The following is a 27,761-nucleotide window of genomic DNA, read 5'->3' as shown; positions in this document are numbered from 1 at the left end:
AAAATGAGCAGCATGTTATGAAGTCAGGGTCTTCAAGTGGTTATTTTGAATGCAGTCCTTTGGTGGCCTCTACTGTGCAGGTGGCCAGGTACCTTGCAAGACACTAGAGCTACAAGGATGAGCCTGTAATCCTAACACTTTGGGAGGCCAAGGCAGGTGGATCACCCGAAGTCAGTAGTTCGAGACCAGCCTGCCCAATATGATGAAACCCCGTCTGTACTAAAAATATAAAACTTAGCCAGGCATGGTGATGTGCACCTGTAATCGCAGCTACTCAGGAGGCTGAAGCAGGAGAATCACTTGAACCCAGGAGGCATAGGCTGCAGTGGGCCAAGATTGCGCCACTGCACTCCAGCATGGGCAACAGAGCAGACTCCATCTCAAAAAAAAAAAAAAAAAAAAAGAAAAGAAAAAAGAAAACAAGTAGTTCCATACATAGGTTTGATGGAAGAAGAACTCAGGACTATAGGAGGGGCACAGTCCAGCTGAACCATGTAGGGAGCTCATGAATGGCTTTTTGAAAACAATTCTGAAACTTCAAGAGAGAAGAGAACAAAACCACATGAGACACCACTTCACACCCATTAAGATGGCAATTATGAAAACAGAAAAAAGGAGGCCAGGCACGGTGACTCAGGCCTGTAATCCCAGCACTTTGAGAGGCCAAGGTGAGAGGATCACTTAGGGCAAGGAATTCGAGACCAGCCTGGGCAAGATAGTAAGATACTGTCCCTACAAAAAATAATAAAATTACTATACATATATATATATATGTATATATGTGTGTGTATATATATATATATGAAAAAAGGGGGTGGTAATCACTCTCTGGTTCTCCCCATGTATACAATTAAAGCTGTATACCTTTTCTCTAATTTAAAAAGCCAGCATTGGCCGGGCACAGTGGCTCACGCCTGTAATCCCAGCACTTTGGGAGGCCAAGGCAGGCAGATCACTTGAGGCCAGGAGCTCAAGACCAGCCTGGCCAACATGGTGAAACCCTGCCTCTACTAAACATACAAAAATTAGCCAGGCACAGTGTCGCATGCCTGTAATCCCAGCTACTTGGGAAGCTGAGGCAGGAGAATCACTTGAACCTGGGAGGTGGAGGCTGCAGTGAGCCAAGATCACACTGCTGCACTCCAGCCTGGGTGACAAAGCGAGATTCTATCTCAAAAAATAAATAAAAAGCCAGCACTGGCAAGGCTGTGGAGTTGGCAAGGATGTGGAAGGATGGTGGAGAAAATGGACCTCGTGTGCATTGCTAGTGGGAATGCAACAGGGTATAGCCTCTATGGAAAACCCTCTGATGGTTTCTAAAAAACAATTAAACATAGAATTACCATATGATCCAGCACTGTCCTTGTGGGTATATGCCCCAAAAGAACTAAAAGTGGAAAAAACAAGTATTTGTATCTTCATATTCACAGCAGTACCATTCGCAATAGCCCATAAGTGGAAGACACCCAACTGTCATGGGAATAAACAAAATATGGGCTCTACATACCCTCAAAAATATTGTTCAGCCTTTAAAAGGAAGAAAATTCTGGGCCAGGCGCGGTTGCTCATGCCTGTAATTGCAGCACTTTGGGAGGCCGAGGCAGGCGGATCACGAGGTCAGGGGTTCGAGACCAGCCTGGCCAACATAGTGAAACCACGTCTCTACTAAAAATACAAAAATTAGCCGGGCATGGTGGCGCCTGCCTATAGTCCCAGCTACTTGGGAGGCTGAGGCAGGAGAATCACTTGAACCCAGGAGGCAGAGGTTGTGGTGAGCTGAGATAGCGCTACTTACTGTACTCTAGCAAACTGGGCAACAGAGCAAGGCTCCATCAAAAAAAAGAAGAAGAAGGAAATTCTGACACATACTACAACACGGACGATCCTTGAAGATGTTATGCTAAATAAAGCCAGACAAAAAAAGAACAAATATTGCATGATTCCATTGGTACAAGGAACCTAAAGTAGTAGAATGCACTGAGGCAGAAAGTAGAATGCTGGCTGCCAGAGGCAGGGGTCTGGAGGGAGTGAGTGTTACTGTTTAACGAGTACACAGTTTCAGTTTGTAAAAATGGAAAGGTTCTGAGATGAATGGTGGTAATGATTACTGTATGACATGTGAATGTACATTAAGTACACTCACACTGAATTGTACACTTCAAATGGCTGAAATGGTAAATTTCATTATGTATATTTTACCAGTTTTTTTTGTTCGTTTTGTTTTGTTTTGTTTTGAGATGGAGTCTCACTCTGTTGCCCAGGCTGGAGTGCAGTGCCACGATCTCGGCTCACTGCAAGCTCCGCCTCCCGGGTTCATGCCATTCTCCAGCCTCAGCCTCCCAAGTAGCTGGGACTATAGGCACCCGCCACCACGCCCGGCTAATTTTTTGTATTTTTAGTAGAGATGGGTTTCACCGTGTTAGCTAGGATGGTCTCAATCTCCTGACCTCATGATCCACCCGCCTCAGCCTCCCAAAGTGCTGGGATTACAGGCATGAGCCACCATGCCCGGCCATATTTTTTTTTAAGAGAGAATAGAAGTTTGGCCAGTAGGAGCTTGGGTGAGAGCTGGGGAAGGAAGGAAGGTAGCAGAAGGGAAAGAACTGCCAGACTTGAAGAGTTTCAAGACAATAGAAACCAGGAGAGCTGTTCAAAATACAGGATTGGGCCAGGAACAGCGGCTAACGCCTGTAATCCCAGCACTTTGGGAGGCTGAGGCAGGTGGATCACATGAGGCCAGGAGTTCGAGACCAGCCTAGCCAACATGAGGAAAACCCATCTCTGCCAAAAATACAAAAATTAGGCAGCATGGTGGTACACACCTGTAGTGCCAGCTACTCAGGAGGCCAAGACATGAGAATCACTTGAACCCAGAAGGCAGAGGCTACAATGAGCCGAGATCGCACCACTGCACTCTAGCCTGGGCAACAGAGCAAGACACTGTCTCAAAAAAAACAAACAAACAAACAAAAAAAACAGAACTGAATCATCTAAATTACTGAGAGGCACCAAGCAAAGCACAGGCAGTGGCACTGAAGGCCCTGCCCCACACAGGATCTGGCATTAGTGCTTTAGCTGCTGAATTATGGAGAGGTCTCAAGAGTCCCAAGGCAGGGGTGTGGCAGGAGGGGAGCTTGTGGGACTCAGGCCATCATTTATTTGCAAACTGGATGAAAGAGTTGTGATGTTGGACCTGCCGCTGCCTGTCAGCCCTGGCGTACGGCACGGCATAAGAGGTAGAACAGAGACAGACACAGCCAGCACCGAAGAGAGCCCAAGAAGCCATATCAAGCACTCGATACTTTGTCCCAATTCTACAAGAGACCCATGGAAGAGCTTTAAGTTAGTGGGTTACGGGGAATAAGTGGGGGAGTGGGATGGTAATTAAAGAAGACCACTCCATGATATGCAAAGTGCATCAGAGCTGATCAAGACTGAAGGCAGGAAAACACAAGTCGGGGAGAAAGAAGAGAACTCACTGATGATGGAGGAAACGCGAGTGGCTCAGGGACCCATGTGAGAGACAGAAAACAGTGCTCTTTGTGGGACTGGTTTTGGGGCAGAGGAAAGGGAGAAGGAGAAGGCTGGGAGGAAGCCCAAGAGCTGTCCAGGGGACCTGGGTAAAGGGCAGAGCCATTTACTAAGCAAGAAACACAGGAACACATATGGATGAAGATCAGAATTCAGTTTTGGAGACTGACAAGCCCGTGCTGTACACCAAATAGAGACATTCATGAGACAGAGTTTGAGGAAGTGCTCCGGGCTGTGGGTATGACTAAGAATGACAGGCACATACAGAGCAACTTCACCAAGGAATCCAAACAGTATGCATAGAAACAAGAGCCAACAATGAATCCAAGGATGAATAATATTTGAGGGTATGGAAGTGATATGCCAACAAGGATCAGAAAAGAAGAAAGTGTGCCAATAGGCTATGGCATCACAGAAAGCAAGGGAAGCCAGTGTTTCAAAGTCAGAAGATCCTCGATGCCCAAGGCTGCCCAACAGAAAGGGAAGATTAGGCTTCAATTTTACAGGCAGCTCAGCAACAGTAACTGTGTCTCTGGTATATTCTGAATGGCCCCGATCACCTTGTAATTGACTGCCAATCCATAACCTGATGATGATATATCAGTGATTAAAAGAACATCAAATTCCAGCCGGGCGTGGCGGCTCATGCCTGTAATCCCAGCACTTTGGGAAGCCGAGGTTGGCGGATTACCTGAAGTCAGGAGTTCGAGACCAGCCTGGCCAACATGGTGAAACTCCATCGCTACTAAAAATACAAAAATTAGCCAGGCATGGTGGCACACAGCTATAGTCCCAGCTACTCAGGTGGCTGAGGCTGGAGAACCACTTGCACCTGGGAGGCAGAGGTCACAGTGAGCTGAGATCATGCCACTGCACTCCAGACTGGGCAACAGAGTGAGGCTCCATCTAAAAAAAAAAAAAATCAAATTCCAAGGTCATGCCATCAAATGCATCAAACGCCAGTAACGACAGTGGTTCTTTCTCCTTTCCCAAGTGGAATGGAAAATAATTCATTTTTCCATACTGTATTCTGTACTGGCTACTTGGGTTTCCAGTGGCTACAAAGACAGCAAGCCAAGTCTGTGTAGAGCTCTGGGTTGCTTTTCATTAACTTTTGCTTTGTTCCTTAAAAATTAATCACTTTCCCTGTAGCAAACTGTAGTGATCCTGGTATATGGTACCTCAGGAACCATGAAATACAGTACTGCACGCAATGAATAATGCCCTTCCTTCCAACCAAGATGTATTTGTTTAGTGAACATAATTTTATTGAACAACCTGTGTAGTGGCAGACACTATGCTAGGTGTCAAGAGAAAGTAAACACGGTGTCCTGCTTTCAAAAAAGCATGCTACTTTGTGGGATATACAGAAAACTGAATATGGTGTGACAATGAGGGGGTAAAGTGGAATCTCCTGTCCTTTGTTCTGTAAGACAAAGGCAGTCAAGCTTGTCTTTTTTTTTTTTTTTTTTTTTTTTTTTTTTTTTTTTTTGAGATGGCATCTCGCTCTGTCGCCCAGGCTGGAGTGCAGTGGCACGATCTCAGCTCACTGCAACCTCAGTCTCCCGGGTTCAAACAATTCTCCTGCCTCAGCCTCCCAAGTAGCTGCAATTACAAGCGGGCACCACCATGCCCAGCTAATGAGCTAAGCTAGTTTGGTCTTTTCCCTGCTTGTCATTTGCAGGAGGCTGCTCAGCACATCCTCATCAGCAGAAAACAGCCAGAGACTGCCCTTTCGTTCATCTCATCACCATACCGGTATAGCACTCTCCCTAAGACAGAGAGGGGCGGCCAGAACGAGAAGGCTGGAGATGCCTTGCAAATGTGTTGGTGGTTCTTTGATTACCAGGGCCAAGCAACAAAAAGATAAGAATTCTAGTCCTGATGGGAACAAAAAGAGCCATTCTTTGTGGCCAAAAGGTCAGCGCCTTAAGAAGGGATGACATGGAGGAAGAGGTTCAAAGTTGAAAGGGTGGTGGGAGAGGAGGGTAAGTGGTTAAACATTTATTAGGTGTTAGGAACTAAAGCAGCTGCTTCAAATGAGGTTCTCACTGAATCCCCCTGACAAACCCTCAAGCTAGGCGAGACTATCGCCTTCGCAAGTGAAAAAAACGAAGGCTCAGAGGGAACTTTCCCCGAGGCCATTCAGACTCACCCTAGCAGTCTGACTTCAAAGCCAGGGTTGCTTCTGCCTTGCTGGATGTAAGTGCCCAGCTGCCAGCTGCCCTTGGCTGGATGGAAGTGGACCAAGAACCTCATGGCTTACTCACACCAATTCCTCTAAGGTCATTCCCCCAAAGGCAGATAAGATATAAACAAGAAGAAGTATGAGGGCCCAGGAAGCCTGAGGGCAGGTGGCCCTGAGAAAAGCTAAATCCCTGCAAAGCTCCTCACCCAGCCTGTAACACTAAGTCACTCATACACAGGGACTCAGGGAGGCGTCCGGGAGACGGGAAGCTGCAGAGACATAATCCAGGACACAGGAGGTAGCCAAAGCCATTGGCAGTGATTTCTATGAGGACTGAAGTAGTCCCTGATGCTGGCTTTTCTCAGACTGGATCCCTCCGTCCCTGGCTGTTGAAGGAGCACAGAAGCATGGCAGAAAATTCAACAGGGACAGGAATCCTTTTTTTTTTTTTTTTTTTTTTTTTTGGTGAGACGGAGTCTCTCTCTGTCACCCAGGCTGGAGTGCAGTGGCACGATCTCAGCTCACTGCAACCTCCGCCTCCCGGGTTCAAGCAATTCTAAATGTGAGTCACCATGCCTGGCTCCAACAGATCTTTTTTTTAAAAAAAATTATTAAAATTATTTTATTGATACATAATATTTGTACATATTTATAGGGTACCTGTGGTACTTTGATACATGCCTAGAATGTGTAATGACTTTCAACAGATCTTTGCTTCTTTTTTTCTTTCTTTGGGCAGTCTCCGGGGGCTAGAGTAGGCTCAGGCTCCTAGATCTTTGATTCATTTCTGAAAATGAGTAACTGGTGAAATAAACAAGAAACAAAGATCTAGGAGCCTCTCTGAACTTACCCTAGCCCCGGGAGACTGCTCAAAGAAAGAAAAAAAAAAAGCAAACATCTGTTCAAAGTCATTACACATTCTAGGCATGTATCAAAATATCACAAGTACCAAGGCCAGGCACAGTGGCTCACACCTATAATCCCAGCACTTTGGAAGGCCGAAGTGAGCAGATCACAAGGTCAGGAGTTCGAGACCAGCCTGGCCAACATGGTGAAACCTGTCTCTACTAAAAATACACAAATTAGCCGGGCATGGTGGTGGGCACCTGTAATCCCAGCTACTCGGGAGGCTGAGGCAGGAGAATCACCTGAACCCAGGAAGCGGAGGTTGCATTGAGCCAAGAAGGTGCCATTGCACTCCAGGCTGGGCAACAGAGCAAGACTCCATCTCAAAAATATAAAAATTAAAAACATTTTTAAAAAATTTAAAAAAGAACATAAACAATGCCAACTCCCACCCAAGACTGCACGAGCTCACAGCTCCCTAAGATCACTAGAGCACGTCCATGTTACGCTCAGTATTTCTTTACCAAACCATTTAATTCACGTGAAAGAATGAACTTTGTAGTCCAGATTGCTTTACAGCGATGAGGTTCAGATGATCTGTTTTAAAAGGTTCAGTCCTGGTCATCATTTTCACAAGACAAAACTTCCTAGTTAATTAACTAATGCTTTGAGTACACAGTTTTAAAACAGTATCTCTAAAATCACACACACACACACACACACACACACACACACACACACATTCCACACATGCAAAAGGCAGAAGTGAAAGGCCCACCTCCGCGTCAGGAGGCTCTAAGGGCCGCAGTCCAGTGACTTCACTCAAATGAGCAGCTGTTACTCCTCGTACGTATACAGGGTAAAGCTTCTGTCTGCAGACCACAGCCTGCCTACTCACCACCTGGGTGCCAGTGCCTGTGTGGTCAGTTTTTGAGGATTTGCACCGCCCCTCCCTGAGTGCTGGAGTGTGGACGGCACCTGCCAAGGGCAGCCCAGAGGCTGGTGAGTGCCACGTGGGCCGTGTGCACCCAGCAAAGCCCACCAACTTCCTGAGCAGGTGCTGCTGCCACCCCACCGCAGTGAAGAGGGCACTGAAGCACGAGGAAGCGACACTGCCGCATCCCAAGACGACAGACACTGAGGGAGCGGCCGCCCTGAGACTGGGACCCATGGCAACTCTCCCACCCCCACACATCCAGTTATCTCCCAAAAGATCTGCCAACCACAGCTGGGCCCTCATCTGTGGCCAAGAAGAGTATTTGAGGAGGTGGCCTCAGGGAGAAGAAAGGTGCTGTGGTCAGGGTGGCACCACACCTCCAATTCTCCACTTTACTCACAGGCTCCCCCACCTCTGGCTGGTCTGAGTGCCCGGCATAGCAGGGCTCTGTGGGGGGTGAGGGGAGTGCTTCTCTGCCGGGAATGAATGAGGGAGTCCAGCATGTTTTGTTCGACAGGTGCTGCAGAGGGAAGAAAGGTCCTTCCTGTTGCTGGAAGAGCCTGGGCTCTGGCCCCCAAGGGTTGCTCCTGCTGAGGCCCCTTGGCACAGCCCAGCGCAACTGAAGCGTTCCTTTGGCCCCGGCCTCTCCTGCAAGAAACGCTCAAATGCATGCACGGATAACTCGGTCAGAGGCTTGTGGATGGCGTAGAGGGGCATGGACAGCCGCAGCAAACATCGAGCCATCTTCCATTCCATGCCTAACATATGACCAACAGAAGGCCAGCCATGCCAAAAACCTGACTGCAGTTCTCAGGAAAACTTCATTCTAATGCCCAAGTGACACGGATAATCCTAATTTTCCTGATCTAGATGAAAAGCAGGGAAACTTCACTCTAATGCCCAAGTGACACGGATAATCCTAATTTTCCTGATCTAGATGAAAAGCCCTGAGAAGCACGCTAAACATTTTTTTAACTAGCACATTTATAATCATTTTTCTTAGATTGAATGTGATTTTTTAAAAAGCTTCCCAATTCAAGAACAATTATCTTTTGATTTATCAAAATATGAGAGGAAGAATATTAATATTTGCAGTGTAAACTTTATATAGTTGTAAATTTTTTTTTTTTTGAGAGGGAGTCTCGCTCTGTCGCCCAGGCTGGAGTGCAGTGCCGCGATCTCAGCTCACTGCAAGCTCTGCCTCCCGGGTTCAAGCCATTCTCCTGCCTCAGCCTTCCGAGTAGCTGGGACTACAGGCGCCCGCCACCATGCCCAGCTAATTTTTTGTATTTTTAGTAGAGATGGGGTTTCACTGTGTTAGCCAGCATGGTCTCGATCTCCTGACCTCGTGATCCACCCACTTCGGCCTCCCAAAGTGCTGGGATTACAGGCGTGAGCCACCGTGCCCGGCCTATATAGTTGTAAATTTTTAAAAATTACTTAATTACACAGATGCAGTGGTGCACACCTATAGTCCCAGCTACTCAATTACAACTTTTAGAACTACAAACTCTTACGAAAGAGACATTAGCGATCATCTATTCCAGTATTTTTCAAAGTGTGGGTTGCAAAATCAATGCAATGTGTCATAGCCAGTTTTCAAAGAGACAAAAAGGAAGAGAAACAGAAAAGCAGAACAGAAAACAGAATAAAAAATATTAGTGCAATCAGCACACAGTAATACCATTCTGTGGACCTGTTCGGACCGTGTAAGTGCACACACGTGAGTGAGGGAGGAGGGCTCTGGAACCACAATGGAAAGCTGCCTTCTCGCTGTGGCCTGTTGTCCTGTGGACCTGTTCCGACTGTGTGTGTGCACACGCATGAGTGAGAGAGGAGGGTTCTAGAACCGCGATGGAAAGCTGCTTCCTGCTGTGGCTTGCGCAGATGCTGGTAGAGTCCAGCCATGCAGCTCGCGTGCACTCATCACTCCAGAGGCAGCATCGCCGCAGAATGCGAGTTCACCTTTATAGGGAGTCTGCCCAGGTCACGCAGCACTGGCTCAGGGTACCCACGGCAGCAAAGCAGCTGCACCAAGATGCGGGTATGACCAACCAGCGGTTCCCCTGCCAGCCCCCTGAAGTGGCCAACTGGTCTATCCACCTCATGCAAAAGTTCCCATGACCTCATAAAAAACCCATCAATTTTCATTTAAAATGCACTCAAAAATAAAGTCATCCACCTCCCTGCAAATTTCAATCCTTACAACTCTTAATTTTTAAGGGCTTTTTTTGTTTTTCAGAATCTTCTGAAAATCTGCACCAAATTAAAGATTCTATTATCCTTACCACTAACTGAAAATTGAAATTCCTTAGACAATAAATTATTTTACACTCCTGGCACCATCTGTCTGAACGTACTCTCTCGCTCTGTGAATCGCTGGCACACCAGACTGCCTCTCCCTGCTCCAGGGAATTTCAGGGAATTCCAGATGCCCCTGATTCTGGTCTAATTTACCATACAAGGCCTGTCCTCTACTCAAACCAATTCTGCAATCCCTTAAGTTAACCATATGGGCAATACAATAACACCTCTACTTAAATCATTCCGAATTTCTGCTATGATATCATTTGATCTTCATGCCCAGGGCAGCAAATAATTAATTTCAAATACTCACTGAGCAACAAAGCCAACACTAGGGGATTGTCCAGTAAAGGAAAATGCTGCCCGGATGCCTCACACCCCCAGTGAGGCAGGGACAAAAGAAATCAGCACAGTGTATTCAGCTGATGAAGGAGCCATTTCTCCACAACTCCACTCTCAACGAAGAAGCACCCAGAACACAGCCACAAATGCATCTAAACAGCCAAAGACCCAGGCTCAGCTCTACACAGCTCACCCGAAGGAGCTACCCATGCCTGGAGCCATGACCAGAACCAGCCACTGCATTTTAATTTCAACTCCAACAGCAGTGGCTGTTTGGCTTCCCTGGAAGGCAGCAGATTAGGTGCATGATGAGGACGCGGTGGAGGGCAGGAGGCGAGGAGGGCAGCACACGTCCACACACACACAGGGGCTCAGCTCTACAAAGCCCGAGACTGAGACTCTCACTTAGGCACCTCCCACAGTGAACTGAATGCTTGTTCTTATGTAAAGTTGTTATTCAGGAGGAAAGATAATACACAACCTTTGAAACCAGCCAAAGTGGTTCCAAATAATTTTTTAAGTATTTTAATTTTTTGAAAAACCATTGAATTGTACACTTCATTTATTTTGAGACAGGGTCTTGCTCTGTTGCCCAGGCTGGAATGCAGTGGCACAATCATGGCTCACCGCAGCCTGGGTCTCCTGGGCTCAAGCAATCCTCCTGCCTCAGCCTCATGAGTAGCTTGGGACTACAAGTGCATGCCACCAGATGTGGCTAATTTTTTTTTTTTCTGTAGAGACAGGGTCTTGCTATGTTGCCCAGGCTGGCATCAAACTCCTGGGCTCAAGCGATCCTCCCACCTCTGCCTCCCCAAAGTACTGGGATTACAGATGTGAGCCAGCACAAAACATTTTTTTTTTAAAGATTCAGCTGCAATTTCAATGTCAGTGTTCTAAGAAAGCCCTTCACCTCTTCTTCCCTCTCCCTCACCTCTTCTTCCCTCTCCCAGTCAGCGATGCTGGAACACTGGGGCACGACAGCATGTGCACCTAGAGGTCAAAAAGAACAATAAAGACAGAGATAGCACTGGAGTGGAAACTAGTCATCACGGCTGGGCAGCTGGCAAAGCAGAGGCCACAGGGGCCCAGAGCTGAGAGGAAGTGAGCGCTCCTGGAGGGGAGGCTGAGACACAGCGCTGGAGAGCACGGCTCGGGGAAGAGGAAGCGGGCACCATGCAGCCAGTGCGTCCCCACACATGTGCACCCACCACCATCCCCTGAACCTTGTCTTCCCAAATGGCTCTTTATGAAGCCTCTGGTGCTCCACCAATCTTTCCAAACTTCTTGCCCACATTTGGGATGCACCATCCGCTACTGCTACCCCCCAACACTGGTCACAGGAGGCTGAGCACCGGGGGCTCCATCCGACCTCACTGGACCTGGGTGCCCATGGCCTCCAGCCTTGCACAGGCAGTCACCCTCCCCATGGCTGTGCCATTCGCTGTCCTGAGGCCTTGGTGCAGGTGGCTCTCCCGACCCCTCCTACTGTGTCTCTCACCCTCCTACTGTGTCTCCCACCCTCCTACTGCATCTCCCATGCTCCTACTGCATCTCTCACCCTCCTACTGCATCTCCCACCCTCCTACTGTGTCTCTCAGGCTCTGTGGCTCTTGCGCACTCCCAGTGTGCCCAACAGGGCCTGAAATGGACTCTAATCAGCATTCCTTAGTGCAGGCTCACGCTCACCTGAAGAGCACCTGTCAGCAGACAGCCTCAGCCAGGGGAGCCCTCCCAGAGTCAACGAACAGCTGTGAGTCCCACCCTGCCTGCAACCCAGCACCAGATGTAAGCGCACACCACAACTGTCGGCAAAGAAGCCAGAGAATGCGGGGGTCGTGGGCTACAGGGAAAGGAGGCCAAGGCAGCCCTCCTGGAACCTCAGTATCAGAGCAGACAGAGACATAATGGCAGAAAGAGCGTGAGACGGGGCATTCCATCTCTCAGCAAGGAAGAAAAGCAAGGCTGCTATGGACATGAAACTGACCACATAGCTTCAAATCAGGCGATTCTTCATATTTTCTACTCAGACAGCAAATGGCAACTGTGGGATGTGACTAGAATCTCTCAATATTTAATTTGAAGAAAACATGACTCAAAAAGAATGGTCCCCTGGCAGCAGGTGCCACAGGGTCACACCAACGCAGCACAATGGCACTTCCCAGCACCGCAGCCACCAAGGTCCTCCTGGAACTGACATTGCTGCTGGCCGCAGACGTGGCCTCAAACCCGTCGCCCCAGCAGCAATCCACAAGCACAGCGCACATCCCTCCCTCCGTGGAACTAAGAATGGAGGCTATTTTCAGAGAAGCTGTCCACTAATTCTGAAAATAATCAATTAACTACAAGAAGTAATAGCAACAATCATCTCAGAAGTGGAATAGGAGGAGAACAGCAACAAGTGTGAGCCCAGCACAAGGAAAGGGGGTGGTGTGCAGGATGTGGGGTGCAGGGCGCAGGGCACAGGCCCCAGCCCCAGGATGGAAAACGGACGGCCGGAAGAGGGGAGGCCTGGCCACCCTCCCAAGAGGATTTCTAGCTGCTCTGTCAGATTCTGAGTCTACTGCCACATAACCACTCCTAAATGACAGTTGGAACTAGGGAATCAGAAGGGAATACTAAGCCAATCCTCAGTGATCTAGGAACTTAAAGCAGCCGCGTCCATTTCTTTGTGTTCTCTTACTCCAGTTGGGGTGCTGTTCCTCGCCTTCCCCCAACTACCTGGAACAAGCGTGGGCTGCAGGGTCTCCCGTCAATCAAGCCAGTGCTCACACCAGGGCAGGCCAAGGGCCTCTGGGACAGGACGGGGAGCTGAGCCATCTGCAGTGTCACATGAAGGATGCTTCTGAGATCAAGTCTGGCTGGAGAAGAGAGAGCCCTAGACCTGCATGCACTATCCTCCTGTGGGCATGGGGGTGGGGAGGAGAGGGAATGGGCCGTGTGTCCCCCGCACTGCTCGGGGCTTCTGTAGGCAATGGGGATGGGGAGGAGAGTGAATGGGCCATGTGACCGCCCCCACAGCTCAGGGCTTCTGTAGGCACGGGGACGGGGAGGAGAGCGAATGGGCCGTGTGTCCCCCGCACTGCTCGGGGCTTCTGTAGGCAATGGGGACGGGGAGGAGAGCGAATGGGCTGTGTGACCCCCACCACGGCTTGGGGCTTCTTAGCCCAGTCAACAACATCGAGGTGAGTGGGCTTCTCTGTGCTTTCTGAAACATCCTTCTGTCTCCCAAACGTGTGGCCAGCCCGGAGGACAAAGCCTGCATGAGCAGGGTGTAGCTCAGCAGGAATGAGAACTGGCCAAATGATGGGAAAAAAAAAGAATTTCCACAAATGGAAAATGAGGGGGTTCACTACACAGATTTACCAGAAAAGGCAGCTTCAGTTGAACACAGCGGTTTCTTTAAATCACACAGCAGTTTCCTTCCCAAGAGAAGCAGGGACCGTGTACCAAGATTCCGCCCGTTACCCTGAGTGCAGCACCGGCCTCTCCTGAAGCCGTCTTTGATTTGAGGTCCCAGAAATGTGACCGATAATAGGAATCAGGAGCGTATGAGAGTTCACAAGGGGAAAAAAAAAAGGTGATTTATAAATTATTATTTGTTTCACATAAAAAGTGGTAGTACGGCAGCTTTATTCATTCTGCGGTGAGGCCACTTAGAGACAGTGGGAACTCGGAGGGGCCACGGAAGAGGCGGGAATGAGCAGCAGTTGCGACCCTGCTTGCAGTGCAAAGGCACGTGGGGCGGCAGCAGTGACGGAGGAACGAGAGACACCAGAACGGAATCTTGTTCAGAGAAATCCAGACAGCAACTCCTCCGACATCAGCCCTGAGTCCTTCCTGAACTCAGATCTGTGCTGGAGCCAATGGGCCTCCATGCCTGCTGAGAAAAGCTGGAATCTCTGTCCCCACAGTAGAGTTGGGAGAATTCTGTCTACAATCACAAACAGAAGCACTGCAGTGATACAGTGTAAAAGCCTGGTTCTATCTTTAAAATTCCAAGTGGATTTTGTTCAGGGGTAGAGACAGGAACAAGGGAATATCGAAGGTGACGTGCCTTACTTTTCCTAGGAATTAAACGTCCAGCAGCGTTTCAACTATGATACAGTTCCACTACCAGCAGAACCATAAACCACTATGTTGCAGAAAACTAAGACGGACCGCCAGCTATGAGCCCTGTCCTCTGCTGCCCCCGTGACCGTGAGAACCACGGGGGACAAAGGCGCGGAGAACTGACCTGCACTGCGCCGACCGCAGCCTCATTACCCCAGTGGAGTGAGCGCAAAGCCACAACTGTGGATTTAAAAGCTGCGCATTCCTTTGGCTCTTTTCCAGAGCAGCAATTTCATACTTACAGACGAGCGATGCTGCAGGACTACCTGAGAAAACCTCGTGCTGATCTTTAAGATGAAACTTTCCAACTAAGAAACTCTGACATAAACCAGTTTTGGAGGGTCTGCAGCCCTTCTCCCAAGGTGCCTCTGAGGGGTCAACGGAAAGCCCACGGGAGCACATGCCCTTCTGTCCCCCTCTGTGTTAAGCACCTCACTCTGGGGGTGCCCCAGGCTCAGTCGGGTCAGAGATCTGCAGGGCCTGGCCTTGACAAAGGGAACACATGCAGGTTTCTCGAAGGACAGTGTGCTGTGGTTTTGAAAAATTAGTATTATCTTTCTACACAGTGAGTTCTGTTTATGGTTCTCACTGTCAACTTCCCAGCTTCTGTTTTATGAAATGGGAAGATCACCCAGATTCTTCAATGATCCAGAGGTGACAGCCATCTCCTGAACAGAAAGGGTCTTCACCAGGACCTAGGAACACACAGCCTCAAAACCACCAGAGAGTTGACTCTGTCCTGCACAGCAACACCCTCCCCAGGACCCGCACCGTCGGAGCACATCATTTTGTAAAGACCATTCGTACTGGGGTGTTCAACCAATGGTCACTCTTTTTGTCAAGGATTAGAAAGCAGGCAAGTTTGTGAGTTTGATGGCAATACACAGGAGCGAAACCACCTTTTTCTAACAGAGTTATCTGTGCAGATATGACCACCATCAACATACGCATGCGTGTGCAGAAAATAACCATCTGAAGGGGGTGGGGTGGTGGGGGTGGGAGGGCATGTTTCCGCCATAATGCAAAAGCTGCTGAAATCCTACAGAGCAGCAAATGTAACCCCCAAGCCCCGCCCTCCCCCTTCCAGGCCTGTGCATTGCCATGGTGAGGAAAGCCAGTCCTGCTCTGGGGCTCACACTGAGAGGCCTTTGCACCCTCGCTTCCTCCCATGAGAGCCCCCATTCCTTGGCAGCACAATGGCCTATATGTGAGAGGGGGACTGTGGCACTCACCTGACCATCCGCCCCCTTCCCATGAGAGCCCCACCCCTCGGCAGCACAATGCCCACATGTACATGGGGACCAGGGCACTCACCTGACCGTCCCACCCCCTCCCCTGAGAACCCCACCCCTTGGCAGCGCAATGCCCGCATGTGCATGGGGACTGGGACACTCACCTGACCATCCTGCCCCACGTGATGGATCTGGAGGTTGCCCTACAAAGAACGAGAGGAGGAACGGTCATGAGTAGAAACACACCAAGACACCCGCAGACACGGCAAACACGCCAAGACACCCGCAGACACGGCAAACACACCAAGACACCCGCAGACACGGCAAACACGCCAAGACACCCGCAGACACGGCAAACACGCCAAGACACATCACAGGCCACTTGAGAATAACAAGAAAAACACTAGTTCTGCAAAAATTCAACCTCCAGTAGCAACAAAAGCCCCAAAACAAAATATTTAGATTTCTAGGTACTATTTATTATTTTAAAGATGAACAAACAACTCAAAAAGCACTGTACCCATTCCCCCACCCTGACCCCAAATGAAAATGTCATTTTTACTTCATTTTTTATTTTGAAAGAATCTGACTCACAAAAAGTACAGAAAGTAGCAGAGAGAGGTGCTATGTGCATGTCACCCAGCTTCCCCAAAGGGGGACGCCTTGCTGAGCTGTGCGGCATCACCACGCCAGGTCACGGGCTGCACGCAAGGAACCAACTCACTCAACCACAGAGCTACTAAGAGCTCTCCAGTTAGAAATTCATTTTCATTTGTTGTAAAAAGGAACTGTTTTATGTCTGTTAGACCCTGCTAAATGTTTATTTGCAGATATCCTGTTTTAACAAAATAATTTTAAATGAACATGGTATGAATTTATGGTGAGGAGACTGCATACTGTCACTTATCACAAAGCCATCGTTAGTATTATTAGCAATTTCTAACTTACTGCATTCAATTCCTAATGAAAATGAAAGACAATCACCTATACAAGATGGATTCAGTTTTGAAAACTGAAGGATAAAACTAATAATAAAAAATTGAAATTCCAGTAGTCAAGATTTTTTAGCATAAACTATAAAAAGCAAATGTGTGTTGATTTTTTTCTTTTGCTGCCGTTTCAATTTTCCTGCATTTTCAATGACTCTAAGGAAATTAAGCATTCCGACGAACTTCATAGGCTTCCAGGTATTCAAGAACTCTGGCTGAGGTCTCTGGCAGTGAGCTTAGCCTCCCAGCCCCCACCTGTCTGTGCCTTGAGAAGCCAACCTTCCCCTGCCCCTCAAAGGCAGCTCCTGCACTGGAAGGTGCTGCTGGGATCCTGCACCTCGCAGCCACTCAGGCCCCCAACTCCTGCACCTGACCTTGCTGAGCTGACAGGCGCATCTCCCGACATCTCCAGGGAGATGGTCCCTGGCCCACCCACAGACACAGAACCAGGCCCTGCCCCTTCCTGGACACTCTGGCCTCCTGGGACCGTCCCCTACCTGCTCCCCGCCCTGGTGCTTCCTTCCATCCATCCATCTGACCATATGTTTCTTAGTGACCTGGTCATGTCGCTGTGTGGATGAGCCCACTCATTCCCAGTCGCTCATGGCCCCCATATGAATTCATTCCTCCCCTTTCACCTCTTCCTCATTCCGCCCCGGAACCCTTATGCATGTGCTCCCCTCTCAGAATAACCCACTGGGAACTGCTGGTGTCCAAATTAAAGCCACTGCCAGCAGACACGCCCAAGTCCCTGGTGCTCCACGTGCCACGGCATGCATGTGTCCACAGTCTTGCTCATGGGCACTTGGGCAGGAGGCTCTGCGCCCGCTATGAGTCCCCGATGGCAGGGCTTCTCTCTCCTCTGCTCCCCCACAGCACCTGCACCCAGCATGAGCTCCCGGGAGCCCTCGCACGCCAACATCTCCATGAGTCCCCTTGACCTCAGCACCCGGGCTTCCTAGTCTCTGCTGCTGGTGTGTGTGGGGAAGCCTGAGATCTTCGTAGCGATACACTACTATACACCAAACACAAAGCTGGTGCCATTGGCACGACCTAGAAACAGCCATGTTCCTCATCCCCCAGAGCGCACCACGGTCACTCAGTACAGCACGTGTGCGCTGCTTACTGCCCTGTGCCTGCTGCTGCCTGTGCTGCAGGAAACAGCCCAGAGTCGAAGGATGGTCACCAGCCACCCGGAAGACAGTCCTGCTCTGGCACGCAAACACGGAGCATCGCAACCGGCCGGCCTCGGCTTTCCAAGAACTCAGACTGTCACTCCCGCCTTCACATTCCAGACCCCAACAGCAGCTGAGCCCGCACTTCTGAGCGCGTGGCTGGGTAGAGCTCCAGAAACTGAGACAATCACAGACATGGCAGGTGCGTCAGGGCTATGACCAGCTCTCAGGACTGGCAGCATCACCTTGTGGGATTCCCCACCATCCTATGAAATCGGCACTAATCCCGTAGAGGCCACCAGGAAGCTGGGGCCACATGGCAGGTGAGGGGGTATGTCAGGTCACCTGTGCAGGGGCAGACCCCATCTCGGCCACACTGGGGCCCTCCCCTGGCAGGAAGGGCAGGGCCAGACAGGGAGAGAAGGGTACTCAGAGGGCACTTCGAGCCAGAAGCAGAAACATCTACCCAGGAGATCTTTGCCAAGACAGACCAGAAGCTGTGGAGACCAACGGACAGGAGGGGGAGGCAGTGAGGCCACAGAGACTGCAGGCCTGCTATGTGCACCCTGGAAGCGGAGTCCTGCAGCCCTCGCCCATGTTCCCCATCCTGGGGGCTCCCTGCTGCCCTCGCACTGTGACACCGATGAAGGTCAGGAGCATGCGGGCACAGTGCCTGCAGGGACAGGGCTGCAGCGAGAGATGACTCACCTCGCTGTCCTGCGTGATCTGGACTTGCTCCCCCTGCGGCACCTTGGCGATGTGGAGGTGTCCCTGTGGGATCCGCAGCAAGAAAAGACACCAAGAAGCATCAGAAGAAAATAAAAAGCAAAGGAAACAAGAAACATCTTCCGGAATGTTTGTTCTTGATTATCTGTTTACAATTCAAAAAGATAACTAAATCCTGAATAGTGCAATATAGTCTGTGGTCACCTCTTTAAATTAAGCTTTTGGTTCACAGTAGTCCCCCTCATCCATGAGGGTTTCAAGAAGCGCCCCCTCCCCCCACCACGTGGACGTCAGAAACCGTGGATGGTGCGGAACCCCGTATATGCTATGCTTTTTCCTGCCCATACGTGCCACACAGCTTGGACATGCTGGACAAAGGAATGACTCACGTCCCAGGCTGGACACAGCAGGACGATCAGACTTCATCATGCTACTACCCAGAAGAGTATGCAATCTGAAACTTACAAATTGTTTATTTCTGGAGTTTCTCATCTAATATTTTCAGATCACAGTTGACTATGGGTAATTAAAACCTAGGAAAGTGGAAGCATGGGTAAGGGGGGGTACTGTGTAACACAGAACATGTTCCAGTACTTCACAAAGGAGCAATAGGTCCCAGGAAAGATATATACATCTTTAAATGTTACTAAACAAGTAAATTTTAAAATGTGCATGACACACAGAAAAGAGGGGAAATAGAAAATCACAATGACACCTCTTTTCAAATGATACGTTCAGCTCTCTGGGGATGCTGGGAGGCTACGCAAGCAGTGTATGGCTGAAGCAGGGGAGCTGTTTGCGTGCCTACACTCACAACAGGGCAGGCAACATTTTTCAAATCAAAGAAACACTCATATGACTATTTAAACAGTTTGAGGAAACACTAACAAATGTGATTCAAAAAAAATCAAAGAATCCACTGTTTATACATATGGGCAGACAAATATTTCCTATAAACCTGTAAATGAAATGAATACTTATCTTATTTGAAATTCTCTCTTAGTCGAAATGGATCTTAAACTCCTGTAGAATGTTCTATGTAAGCCTTATGACAAAGTTATCTACTCTGGAACGCTTTCAAAGAACTTCTTACTAACAAGATGAGAGGAACTGCCATTGTGAATGTCAAATAAATTAATAAGCTTATTAAATAAGATTCACTATTCATAACTGTCTCATCTCCTTTGGAAGAGGAAGGGTAATGCCCCCTCTAAAAGCCCCAGAATTTTCTGGAAGCCTTCCCTCTTCCAGACAGCACGCTGAAGCCACACTGAGATGAGAGCCACGACCCACTCTCAACAGTGGAGGACCTTGTTTCCAGGAGAAAGCCCTGGTAACACGGAGGCACACGATGACCTGTCTTCAGAGGGCCCAAGGGGGCTGGTGCCACTAAAAACATAGGCGATGTCTAGTGGTGCATGTAAAATTTCTAGTCACTCAGCAAAGCTTCCAGAAAAGTCTTCTTCTCAGCCGCCCCCTACTCTCGTGCCACAGAATCCAGGAGGTGTTTGTAGAGGGACTTCACCCGGGAGCGAGCCCCTAGGCGCATCAGACTGACCACAGCTTGGGTCACAAAACCCCAACAGAGAACTCCGCATGGGCAAGGCAGGACATTGACTTGCTGCTGGGACAGTGCCCGCCCAACCTGGGTGTGCTGAGTAACTCCAAGGGAAACGCTGCATGGGAACAATGACCTCAAGCTTTTGCCACTGATCCTAGAAGGAAATTACTCTTTCCCTCAGTAAGAGGACGCCTGCACTTCTGAGCTGAGAAATATTTCCGATGCTTCCCAGGAGCACGAGCTGGGGCAGGGACCACTGCACAGCCTGACCCTTGGAGCTGACTGCCCGCCTGCCTGCTGGCAGGACTGAGGTGAGCTGACTGAACGCCCCACCCCACCATGTGCTTCAATCCCTAGGCTCTGCAGCAGCCGCCCCCACCTGTGAAATGTTAAGAGCTCATGGCCATGATGACCTCTACTTTAAATGGGAACCTTGTGCCTCCTCCCAAGCTATCACTGTGCTCCCGAAACACAGCGGAACTGGTGGAAGCCGCCAGGGCCCTGCCGTGGCCCACCCCGCAGCCCCCTTTCCCAAGGTGCGAGGTGGAGAGGGTACGTACTACTTGCACCTGTCCGTCTTCTCCGATCTGGTGGATCTGCACCTGCTGCACGTTGGCCAGCGCGTAGTGCAGGGCCTGCGGCTGCGGCTGTGGCTGCAGGAGCTCTCTGGCAGGAGGTGGGGTGCTCATCATCGGCTCTGTGGGGGCAACAGGTGTGAACGGGGTGAACGAGAAGTTTCTTAGGCATTGCCTTGTGCAGCATGTGTGCACCCCCGTCCCTCACTCTCGACTCCCACAGCAGAGAAGAGGAAATGCTTCATTTTTCCTCGGCTCACTGCATCTCCACTCTTCTGCAGAGATCACTACGAGTGAGTCTTAGGAACTGAGGTTTCCGACATGGAATGCAGAAGGGCCTGAGAGTGGCGTGATGCTGCTATGACAAAACCCCTTTTAGTCCCAACTTATTTAAATGAATGAAGTTCTTAAAGTGGACATTAAAAGCTGTTTCAGGCTGGCAATATTTGTCCATGGGTAATTAAACTAATAGAGCAAAAGTCTCATCCACGCACTTAAAGATACATTTCCAACAAATTTTACTTGCTGTGTTTAATCAAAATGAGATACATTTGCTTTGATGTACTGTGTATTAATTTTCACTGTAATGATGTCTCAATCATAATTTTCTTAAACTCTTAGAATATTAAGAGCACAGAAAAACTTTAATTTTCATTGTATACACGTAGTTTTGTTGCAGAGAATTATAATGACTAATTTTAAAAAGCTTTTAAGCATAAAAATGTAGTCTGGGCACGGTGGCTCACACCTGTAATCCCAGCACTTTGTGAGGCCAAGGCAGCCAGATCACCTGAGGTCACGAGTTCAAGACCAGCCTGGCCAACATGGTGAAACCCCATCTCTATTAAAAATACAAAAATTAGACAGGTGTGGTGGTGGGGGTCTGTAATCCCAGGCACTCAGGAGGCTGAGGCAGGAGAATCACTTAAACCTGGGAGGCGGAGGTTGTAATGAGTCAAAATGGCACCACTACACTCCAGCCTGGGCAACAGAGCAAGACTCCATCTCGAGGGGACAGGGGAGGGAAGCAGAAAGATGAAATTCTGTGAGAGAAGTAGAATGTTGATATGAATGAAAGGAGAAAAATGAAAGACATAAAATTTCTGATTATTAAAGAGAAGCGGGCCAGGCGTGGTGGCTCACGCTTGTAATCCCAGTACTTTGGGAGGCCAAGGCAGGCAAGATCACTTCAGGTCAGGAGTGCGAGACCAGCTTGACCAACATGGTGAACCCTGTCTCTACTAAAAATACAAAAATTAGCCAGGTGTGGCGGCACGCATCTGTAGTCCCAACTACTTGGGAGGCTGAAGTAGGAGAATCACTTGAACCTGGGAGTAGGCGATTACAGTGAGCTGAGATGGCACCATGGCACTTAGCTCCAGGCAACAGAGTGAGCGGGGGAAGGGACGGGGAGGGGCAAGAGAGGGGAGGGCAAGAGAGAGGAAGGAAGGAGGGGGGAGGGGAGGAGGGAGGGGAGGGGGAGGGGCGGAGAGGGGGAGGGGGAGGGGCGGAGAGGGGGAAGGGGAGGGGCGGAGAGGGGAAGGGGAGAGAAAAGCTTTCCATGTATTTTTTACCAATAGCTAATGGTAGGTATTAAATTGCCATAGTACATAGATTCCACTGAATACATTTTTTAAAGTAACAATAAAATGTTGGTTTTTTTTTTTTTTTGAGACAGAGTCTTGCTCTGTCACCCAGGCTGGAGTGTAGTGGTGTGACCTTGGCTCACTGCAACTTCCGCCTCTCAAGTTCAAGCGATTCTCCTGCCTCAGCCTTCCAAGTAGCTGGGATTACAGGCACCCACCATCATGCTGGGCTAATTTTTTTTTTGTATTTTTTTGTAGAGAAGGGATTTCACCAGGTTGGCCAGGCTGGTTTTGAACTCCTGACCTCAAATGATCCGCCTGCCTTGGCCTCCCAAAATGCTGGGATTATAGGTGTAAGCCACTGTGCCCAGCCACATAACAGAATGTTGATACTTGCAATATGCTAGAAATTGCCTAGCTACACTAAATCAGAATCTCAAATTCATGAGATTCAAAGGAGATTCAACATGCCCACCTGCATGCTGCATGTGGAGAGCTTGGCTCCAGCCAAAGACCCTGACTCCACCTGAGCACCTCCAGTGATGGGTCATGTCCCAAAGCAACCACCGCCAGGCAGTGCTGCGTGCTCCACGGCGGTTTCCTGTCCGCCTGAGCAGTTACAGAGCACTCACCACCACAGGTCCTCGAGCAAGCCTTGTGCACCCCAGGAAGAAAATGACAAAATCCCAGCTGGGCTGAAGCCCACCTCCGCGGAGCTGCTGTTCCTCCACTGACCCTCTTAGCACCTACAAAACCAGCCTAATTCTTCACTTATGTGCTGCTTCTCCAGGCATCTAACCATTATCAAACCTTGTGAAATCTCAATTTCTAACCGTTTCCCCAAAGACAACAGTTTCCAGCCCACTGCCACCATGACAGTCTGTCCCTGGACAGCTCCTCCCAGCAGCTCCAAAACGCTCCACTGGGGCCACAGGGTAGACAAGCTAAGAATGGGTGTGCTACAGAGTGCACCTTCCAACCACAAGGGCTCCGAGGAAGCTCCTGCACACCAGCGCAGCCAGCAAAACACTCGGCTTCACACAATGTTACACCACCGTCTACTACTGTGCAAATGTTCTGAGTCTACATTTCCAGCTATGAAATTTCAGCTCATTAAATTTACCCTTTCAAGATTCTGGTATCCTAATGACGCAGGCCAACATATCTGGCAGTCGTCAGGTTATATAACAGCAGCTTCTTGCTCACTAAGGTCCTGGCAAGTCATTTAACTTGGGTTTTGATTCCCCATTGGATGAAGCAGACCGCTAACCTTACCAAATGCACGTACCCGAAACACATGGAAGGCAAGCCTGGCAGCAACTCTCCTCGCTCTTCGAGTCTAGGAGTTCCATACGGTTCTTTTTTATGTCTTCTATTTCTCTCCTTGCTATGTTCCTTTTTTCCTTTAAATTCCTGAATGTAATTTTAATAGATTTCAATGTCCTGGTCAGTTAATTCCAGACAGGGTCCCTTCCTATTTACTGATTTTCTGATCATAGGTCACAATCTCCTGCTTCCTGGTACTCTGGACTAGATACCGGAGATTGTGAATTTTACTTTGTTGGGTGTCTAGGTTTTGCTGTCTTTCTTTTAAAAGTGTTGTTACTTGTGATTTAATGTGATCTTTCTCAGGCTCTCTTAAGCTCTGCCTTTATTCTAGGGACAGTTTAGCCTGCCAGTAGGCATGGCCAGCTAGTGCAGTGACTGATCACTGAGGACTCTGGCTAGTGGGAATCCAACCACCACCCAGCCTGGGGTGAGCTTAGGAGCCATTGAGCTCATGCCTGCCTTGGAATCCCCCAAACACCCAAGAAGGTCCCCGTGTAACCCTCTGCTCTTAAGAACTTGATTCCACAACTTTCTGCTGCCTCAGCCTCTCTCAACTCCAACCCATCTCCTCCATGCAGTGATGTAGCTATCTCTGCCTGGCATCTCCCTGTCCCCTCCTCTCATGTTCCTTCTCTCAGGATCACGGTCCTGTGCTGTTGCTTGTCTAATGTCTTAGGACAGCCGATTCACAGATTTTTGTCCAGATTTCAATGGCAAGAGAATTCAATCTGGTTCCTGCTACTGTGCCTGACAGAAATTGTGCCTGACAGAAATCTCCTCTCCTTGACTTTTTTTTTTTTTTTTTTTTTTTTTTTTGAGACAGAGTCTTGCTCTGTAGCCCAGGCTGGAGTGCAGTGGCGTGATCTAGGCTCACTGTAAGCTCCGCCTCCCAGGTTCACGCCATTCTCCTGCCTCAGCCCCCCGAGTAGCTGGGACTACAGGCGCCCGCCATCACGCCCGGCTAATTTTTTTGACATTTTTAGTAGAGATGGGGTTTTACCGTGTTAGCCAGGATGGTCTCGATCTCCTGACCTCTTGATCTGCCCACCTTGGCCTCCCAAAGTGCTGGGATTACACATGTGAGCCACAGCACCCGGCTTTTTTTTTTTTTTTTTTTTTTTTTGAGATATAGTCTCGCTCTGTCACCCAGGCTACAGTGCGGTGGCATAATCTCAGCTCACTGCAACCTCTACCTCCTGGATTCAAGCAATTCTCCTGCCTCAGCCTCCCAAGTAGCTGGGATTAGAGGCATGTGCCACCACACCTGGCTAAGTTTTGTATTTTTAGTAGAGACGGGGTTTCACCATGTTGTCCAGGCTGATCTCGAACTGCTGACCTCAGGTGATCAGTTTGCCTCAGCCTCCCAAAGTGCTGGGATTACAGGCATGAGCCACCACGCCTGGGCTCCCTGACTTTTAAACAACATTTTTTACAACTATAAAATTAATGCAGTGCTTATTGGAAATAACTGAGAAACTACAATAAAAGACAAAGGGAAAAATAAAAATTATCCTACTACCTAGAGATAGGCACTGTAAAAATGATCACACATAAATTTTTAATCAACTTCCACATATACCTATATATTTGCAATAAAAATGGTATCATGCCATAAGTATAGTCCTCACATCGCTCTCTGCTGCCCAGCTATGAATATTCAAGAGCAGAAGTCAAGTCATGAGCAATATTCCTACAGCCACATTTCAATAGCCACAGGTTACGCTGCTACATGGTATTTCAGTGAATGCCCCTAACCCACACCCTAGGACTGCTACCTCTCTCAAGTCCCAAGGCAGAATTCCTCATTGTAGTAGAAAGGCCACTGTACTCCAGCCTCAGCAACATAGCAAGACTCTGTCTCAAAAAAAAAAAAAAAAAAAAAAAATTAGGAGATATTAGAAATTGCCAGATTAGCAAAAGCTAAGAAAATTTGCTAATACACCTGCCCTATAATATAGTTCTTTCAGCTGAATGAAAGGACATTAGATGGTAACATGAAGTCACATGAAAAAATAAAGAGCTCCAGTGAAGGTAACTACATAGGCAGATATAAAAGCCAGTGTTATGATAATGGTTTCTTTTTCCTTCTATATGATTTAAAAGATAAATGCATAAAATAATGATAAACATGTTAATAGGCACACAATATAAAGATGTAATTTGCAAAAATACCAACACAAAGAGGGGCTGAAGCTTGACAGAAGAGCTTTTGTATAGTATTAAAGCTAAATTGTTATTAACCCAAATTAAATTGTTTAAGATACTAATTGTAAAATCCAAATTATCCCCTCAGAGAAGAACTAGAAAATATACAGAAAAGGAAATTAGATGGGACTCAAAATGGAAGCTATGAGAGAAAAAAGATATGACATATATAAAACAAATACCAAAACGGCAGATGTCAGTTCTGTATTTTTTTTTTTTTTTTTGAGATGGAGTCTCGCTCTGTCACCCAGGTTGGAATGCAGTGGCACGATCTTGGCTCACTGCAACCTCTGCCTCCCAGGTTCAAGCAGTTCTTCTGCCTCAGCCTCCTGAATAGCTGGGATTTCAGGCACGTATCACCACGCCCAGCTAATTTTTGTATTTTTAGTAAAGACAGGGTTTCACCATGTTGGTCAGGCTGGTCTCGAACTCCTGACCTTGTGATGTGTCTGCCTCAGCCTCCCAAACTGCTGGGATTACAGGTGTGAGCCACCACGCCCGGCCAATGTTCTGTATTATTATCTTCAATAAAAGGCAAGGGTGGCAGAATGGATTTTTTAAAAATGATTCAAATATACAAACTGGTTGAAAGTGAAAGGATGGAAAAAGATACTCCATGAAAATAACAAAAAGAGATCAGGGTGGTTATATGAATATCAGACAAAATAGACTTTAAGTAAAAATATTGTCAGAAAATTTCAATAACTATAAAAAATCAGAATGCGCTAACAGTTACAGAAGAGGAGACACACATGACTCATATTAGTAACACACAGCTTCATTAACAATTGGGAAATGTAGATTTAAATTGCTATGCGATAACATTTCATATCCCTAATTTGGCACAATTAAAAGCTTGGCAATTCTAAATATTGGCAAGAATATGGAGCATGAGGAATTCTCATCTCCTTCTAGTGAGGCTGTAAATTCATAAAACACTTTGCATGTGAGCCCTCAATGGGAAAAGAAATGATTTTTCTTGGTCTTTGTATATTAGACATGGTACAAGTTCAGATATCCACATTTTTCTTTTTTTTTTTTTTGAGACGGACTCTTACTCTGTTGCCCAGGCTGGAGTGCAGTGGCACGATCTCGGGTCACTGCAACCTCCACCTCCCAGGTTCAGGTGACTCTCCTGCCTCAGCCTCCTGAGTAACTGGGATTACAGGTGCCCACCACCACACATGGCTAATTTTTGTATTTTCAATAGAGACGGAGTTTCACCATGCTGGCCAGGTTGGTATCGAAGTCCTGACCTCAAGTGATCCACCCACCTCAGCCTCCCAAAGTGCTGGGATTACAAGTGTGAGCCACCATGCCCAGTCACAGATATCCAAAAATGTTAACAAATGAATGAATGTATAGCTGCATCCACTGACTTGACTTCCTATTCATTCCCATCTTCAAATCCTTCACAAACCTACCTTGATTGAAGCATAGCATTTCCAGGCCTATCTCAACCTGCAATATCTTTTTTTTTTTTTTTTTTTTTTTGATGTTGTCTCGCTCTGTCCCCCAGGCTGGAGTGCAGTGGCGTGATCTCGGCTCACTGCAAGCTCCGCCTCCCGGGTTCACGCCATTCTCCTGCCTCAGCCTCCCGAGTAGCTGGGACTACAGGCGCCCGCCACCATGCCTGGCTAATTTTTTTTGTATTTTTAGTAGAGACGAGGTTTCACCATGTTAGCCAGGATGGTCTCGATTTCCTGACCTCGTGATCTGCCCGCCTCGGCCTCCCAAAGTGCTGGGATTACAGGCATGAGCCACCGCGCCCGGCCTCGACCTGGAATATCTTAATCCATTTTTTTTTTTTTAAATGTGTACACTATGCTTTGTTAATTTTCATTGTTCTCTGCATGTCTTCTTATGGTGGTTCATTTTATGTGCCAACTTGACTCTCCATGGAGTATACAGATTAAACATTATTTCTGGGTGTGTCTGTGAGGAGGTTGCCAAATGAGATAAGCATTTGAATCAGTGGACTCAGTAAAGCAGATGGTCCTCCCCAATGTGGGCAGGCATCATCCAATCTGTTGAGGGCCTGAAAAGAACAAAAGGGTGGAGGAAGGGGGAATTTGCTCTCATTTCTTCCTTGTTGCCTTCTTGACTGGGACATTAGTCTGTTCCA

The 27,761-nt window shown here is 48.2% G+C and overlaps 1 pseudogene across 1 annotated transcript in view, besides 10 other annotated features; it reads right to left on the bottom strand.

Moving 5' to 3' along the window:
* SNX29P1 (sorting nexin 29 pseudogene 1) overlaps window positions 1–18,430 on the bottom strand; it is a 36,571-nt pseudogene extending 18,141 nt beyond the window's left edge. The window contains exons 1-2 of the transcript NR_045011.1: window positions 18,363–18,430; window positions 15,655–15,693 (exon numbers count right to left, since the gene is read on the bottom strand). The product of NR_045011.1 is annotated as a sorting nexin 29 pseudogene 1 (transcript). The remainder of the gene's footprint in view (window positions 1–15,654; window positions 15,694–18,362) is intronic.
* Window positions 7,054–7,692: an enhancer, noted in NCBI's record as "H3K27ac-H3K4me1 hESC enhancer chr16:21371422-21372060 (GRCh37/hg19 assembly coordinates)". NCBI's record gives its function as "activates a minimal SCP1, AML or CMV promoter by ChIP-STARR-seq in naive H9 embryonic stem cells {active_cell/tissue: H9 hESC(naive)}" and the evidence as "EXISTENCE:reporter gene assay evidence [ECO:0000049][PMID:30033119]".
* Window positions 7,257–7,326: a silencer, noted in NCBI's record as "silent region_7251". NCBI's record gives its function as "represses an Ori minimal core promoter by ATAC-STARR-seq in GM12878 lymphoblastoid cells {active_cell/tissue: GM12878}" and the evidence as "EXISTENCE:reporter gene assay evidence [ECO:0000049][PMID:35858748]".
* Window positions 7,693–8,332: an enhancer, noted in NCBI's record as "H3K27ac-H3K4me1 hESC enhancer chr16:21370782-21371421 (GRCh37/hg19 assembly coordinates)". NCBI's record gives its function as "activates a minimal SCP1, AML or CMV promoter by ChIP-STARR-seq in naive H9 embryonic stem cells {active_cell/tissue: H9 hESC(naive)}" and the evidence as "EXISTENCE:reporter gene assay evidence [ECO:0000049][PMID:30033119]".
* Window positions 7,891–8,185: a silencer, noted in NCBI's record as "tiled region #150; K562 Repressive non-DNase unmatched - State 21:Repr". NCBI's record gives its function as "represses a minimal TATA promoter and a strong SV40 promoter by Sharpr-MPRA in K562 cells {active_cell/tissue: K562}" and the evidence as "EXISTENCE:reporter gene assay evidence [ECO:0000049][PMID:27701403]".
* Window positions 7,957–8,056: an enhancer, noted in NCBI's record as "active region_10554". NCBI's record gives its function as "activates an Ori minimal core promoter by ATAC-STARR-seq in GM12878 lymphoblastoid cells {active_cell/tissue: GM12878}" and the evidence as "EXISTENCE:reporter gene assay evidence [ECO:0000049][PMID:35858748]".
* Window positions 13,114–13,614: an enhancer, noted in NCBI's record as "H3K4me1 hESC enhancer chr16:21365500-21366000 (GRCh37/hg19 assembly coordinates)". NCBI's record gives its function as "activates a minimal SCP1, AML or CMV promoter by ChIP-STARR-seq in primed H9 embryonic stem cells {active_cell/tissue: H9 hESC(primed)}" and the evidence as "EXISTENCE:reporter gene assay evidence [ECO:0000049][PMID:30033119]".
* Window positions 17,174–17,979: an enhancer, noted in NCBI's record as "H3K4me1 hESC enhancer chr16:21361135-21361940 (GRCh37/hg19 assembly coordinates)". NCBI's record gives its function as "activates a minimal SCP1, AML or CMV promoter by ChIP-STARR-seq in naive H9 embryonic stem cells {active_cell/tissue: H9 hESC(naive)}" and the evidence as "EXISTENCE:reporter gene assay evidence [ECO:0000049][PMID:30033119]".
* Window positions 17,455–17,619: a silencer, noted in NCBI's record as "fragment chr16:21361495-21361659 (GRCh37/hg19 assembly coordinates)". NCBI's record gives its function as "represses an EF-1alpha promoter that drives an FKBP-Casp9 reporter gene in an ReSE screen in HepG2 liver carcinoma cells and phorbol 12-myristate 13-acetate-treated (for megakaryocytic differentiation) K562 erythroleukemia cells {active_cell/tissue: HepG2 | K562(+PMA)}" and the evidence as "EXISTENCE:reporter gene assay evidence [ECO:0000049][PMID:32094911]".
* Window positions 17,980–18,787: an enhancer, noted in NCBI's record as "H3K4me1 hESC enhancer chr16:21360327-21361134 (GRCh37/hg19 assembly coordinates)". NCBI's record gives its function as "activates a minimal SCP1, AML or CMV promoter by ChIP-STARR-seq in primed H9 embryonic stem cells {active_cell/tissue: H9 hESC(primed)}" and the evidence as "EXISTENCE:reporter gene assay evidence [ECO:0000049][PMID:30033119]".
* Window positions 19,940–20,499: an enhancer, noted in NCBI's record as "H3K4me1 hESC enhancer chr16:21358615-21359174 (GRCh37/hg19 assembly coordinates)". NCBI's record gives its function as "activates a minimal SCP1, AML or CMV promoter by ChIP-STARR-seq in primed H9 embryonic stem cells {active_cell/tissue: H9 hESC(primed)}" and the evidence as "EXISTENCE:reporter gene assay evidence [ECO:0000049][PMID:30033119]".

Source organism: Homo sapiens, chromosome 16, assembly GCF_000001405.40.
Source record: "Homo sapiens chromosome 16, GRCh38.p14 Primary Assembly".
NCBI lineage: Eukaryota > Metazoa > Chordata > Mammalia > Primates > Hominidae > Homo > Homo sapiens.
This window is presented reverse-complemented; position numbering and strand designations above follow the sequence as displayed.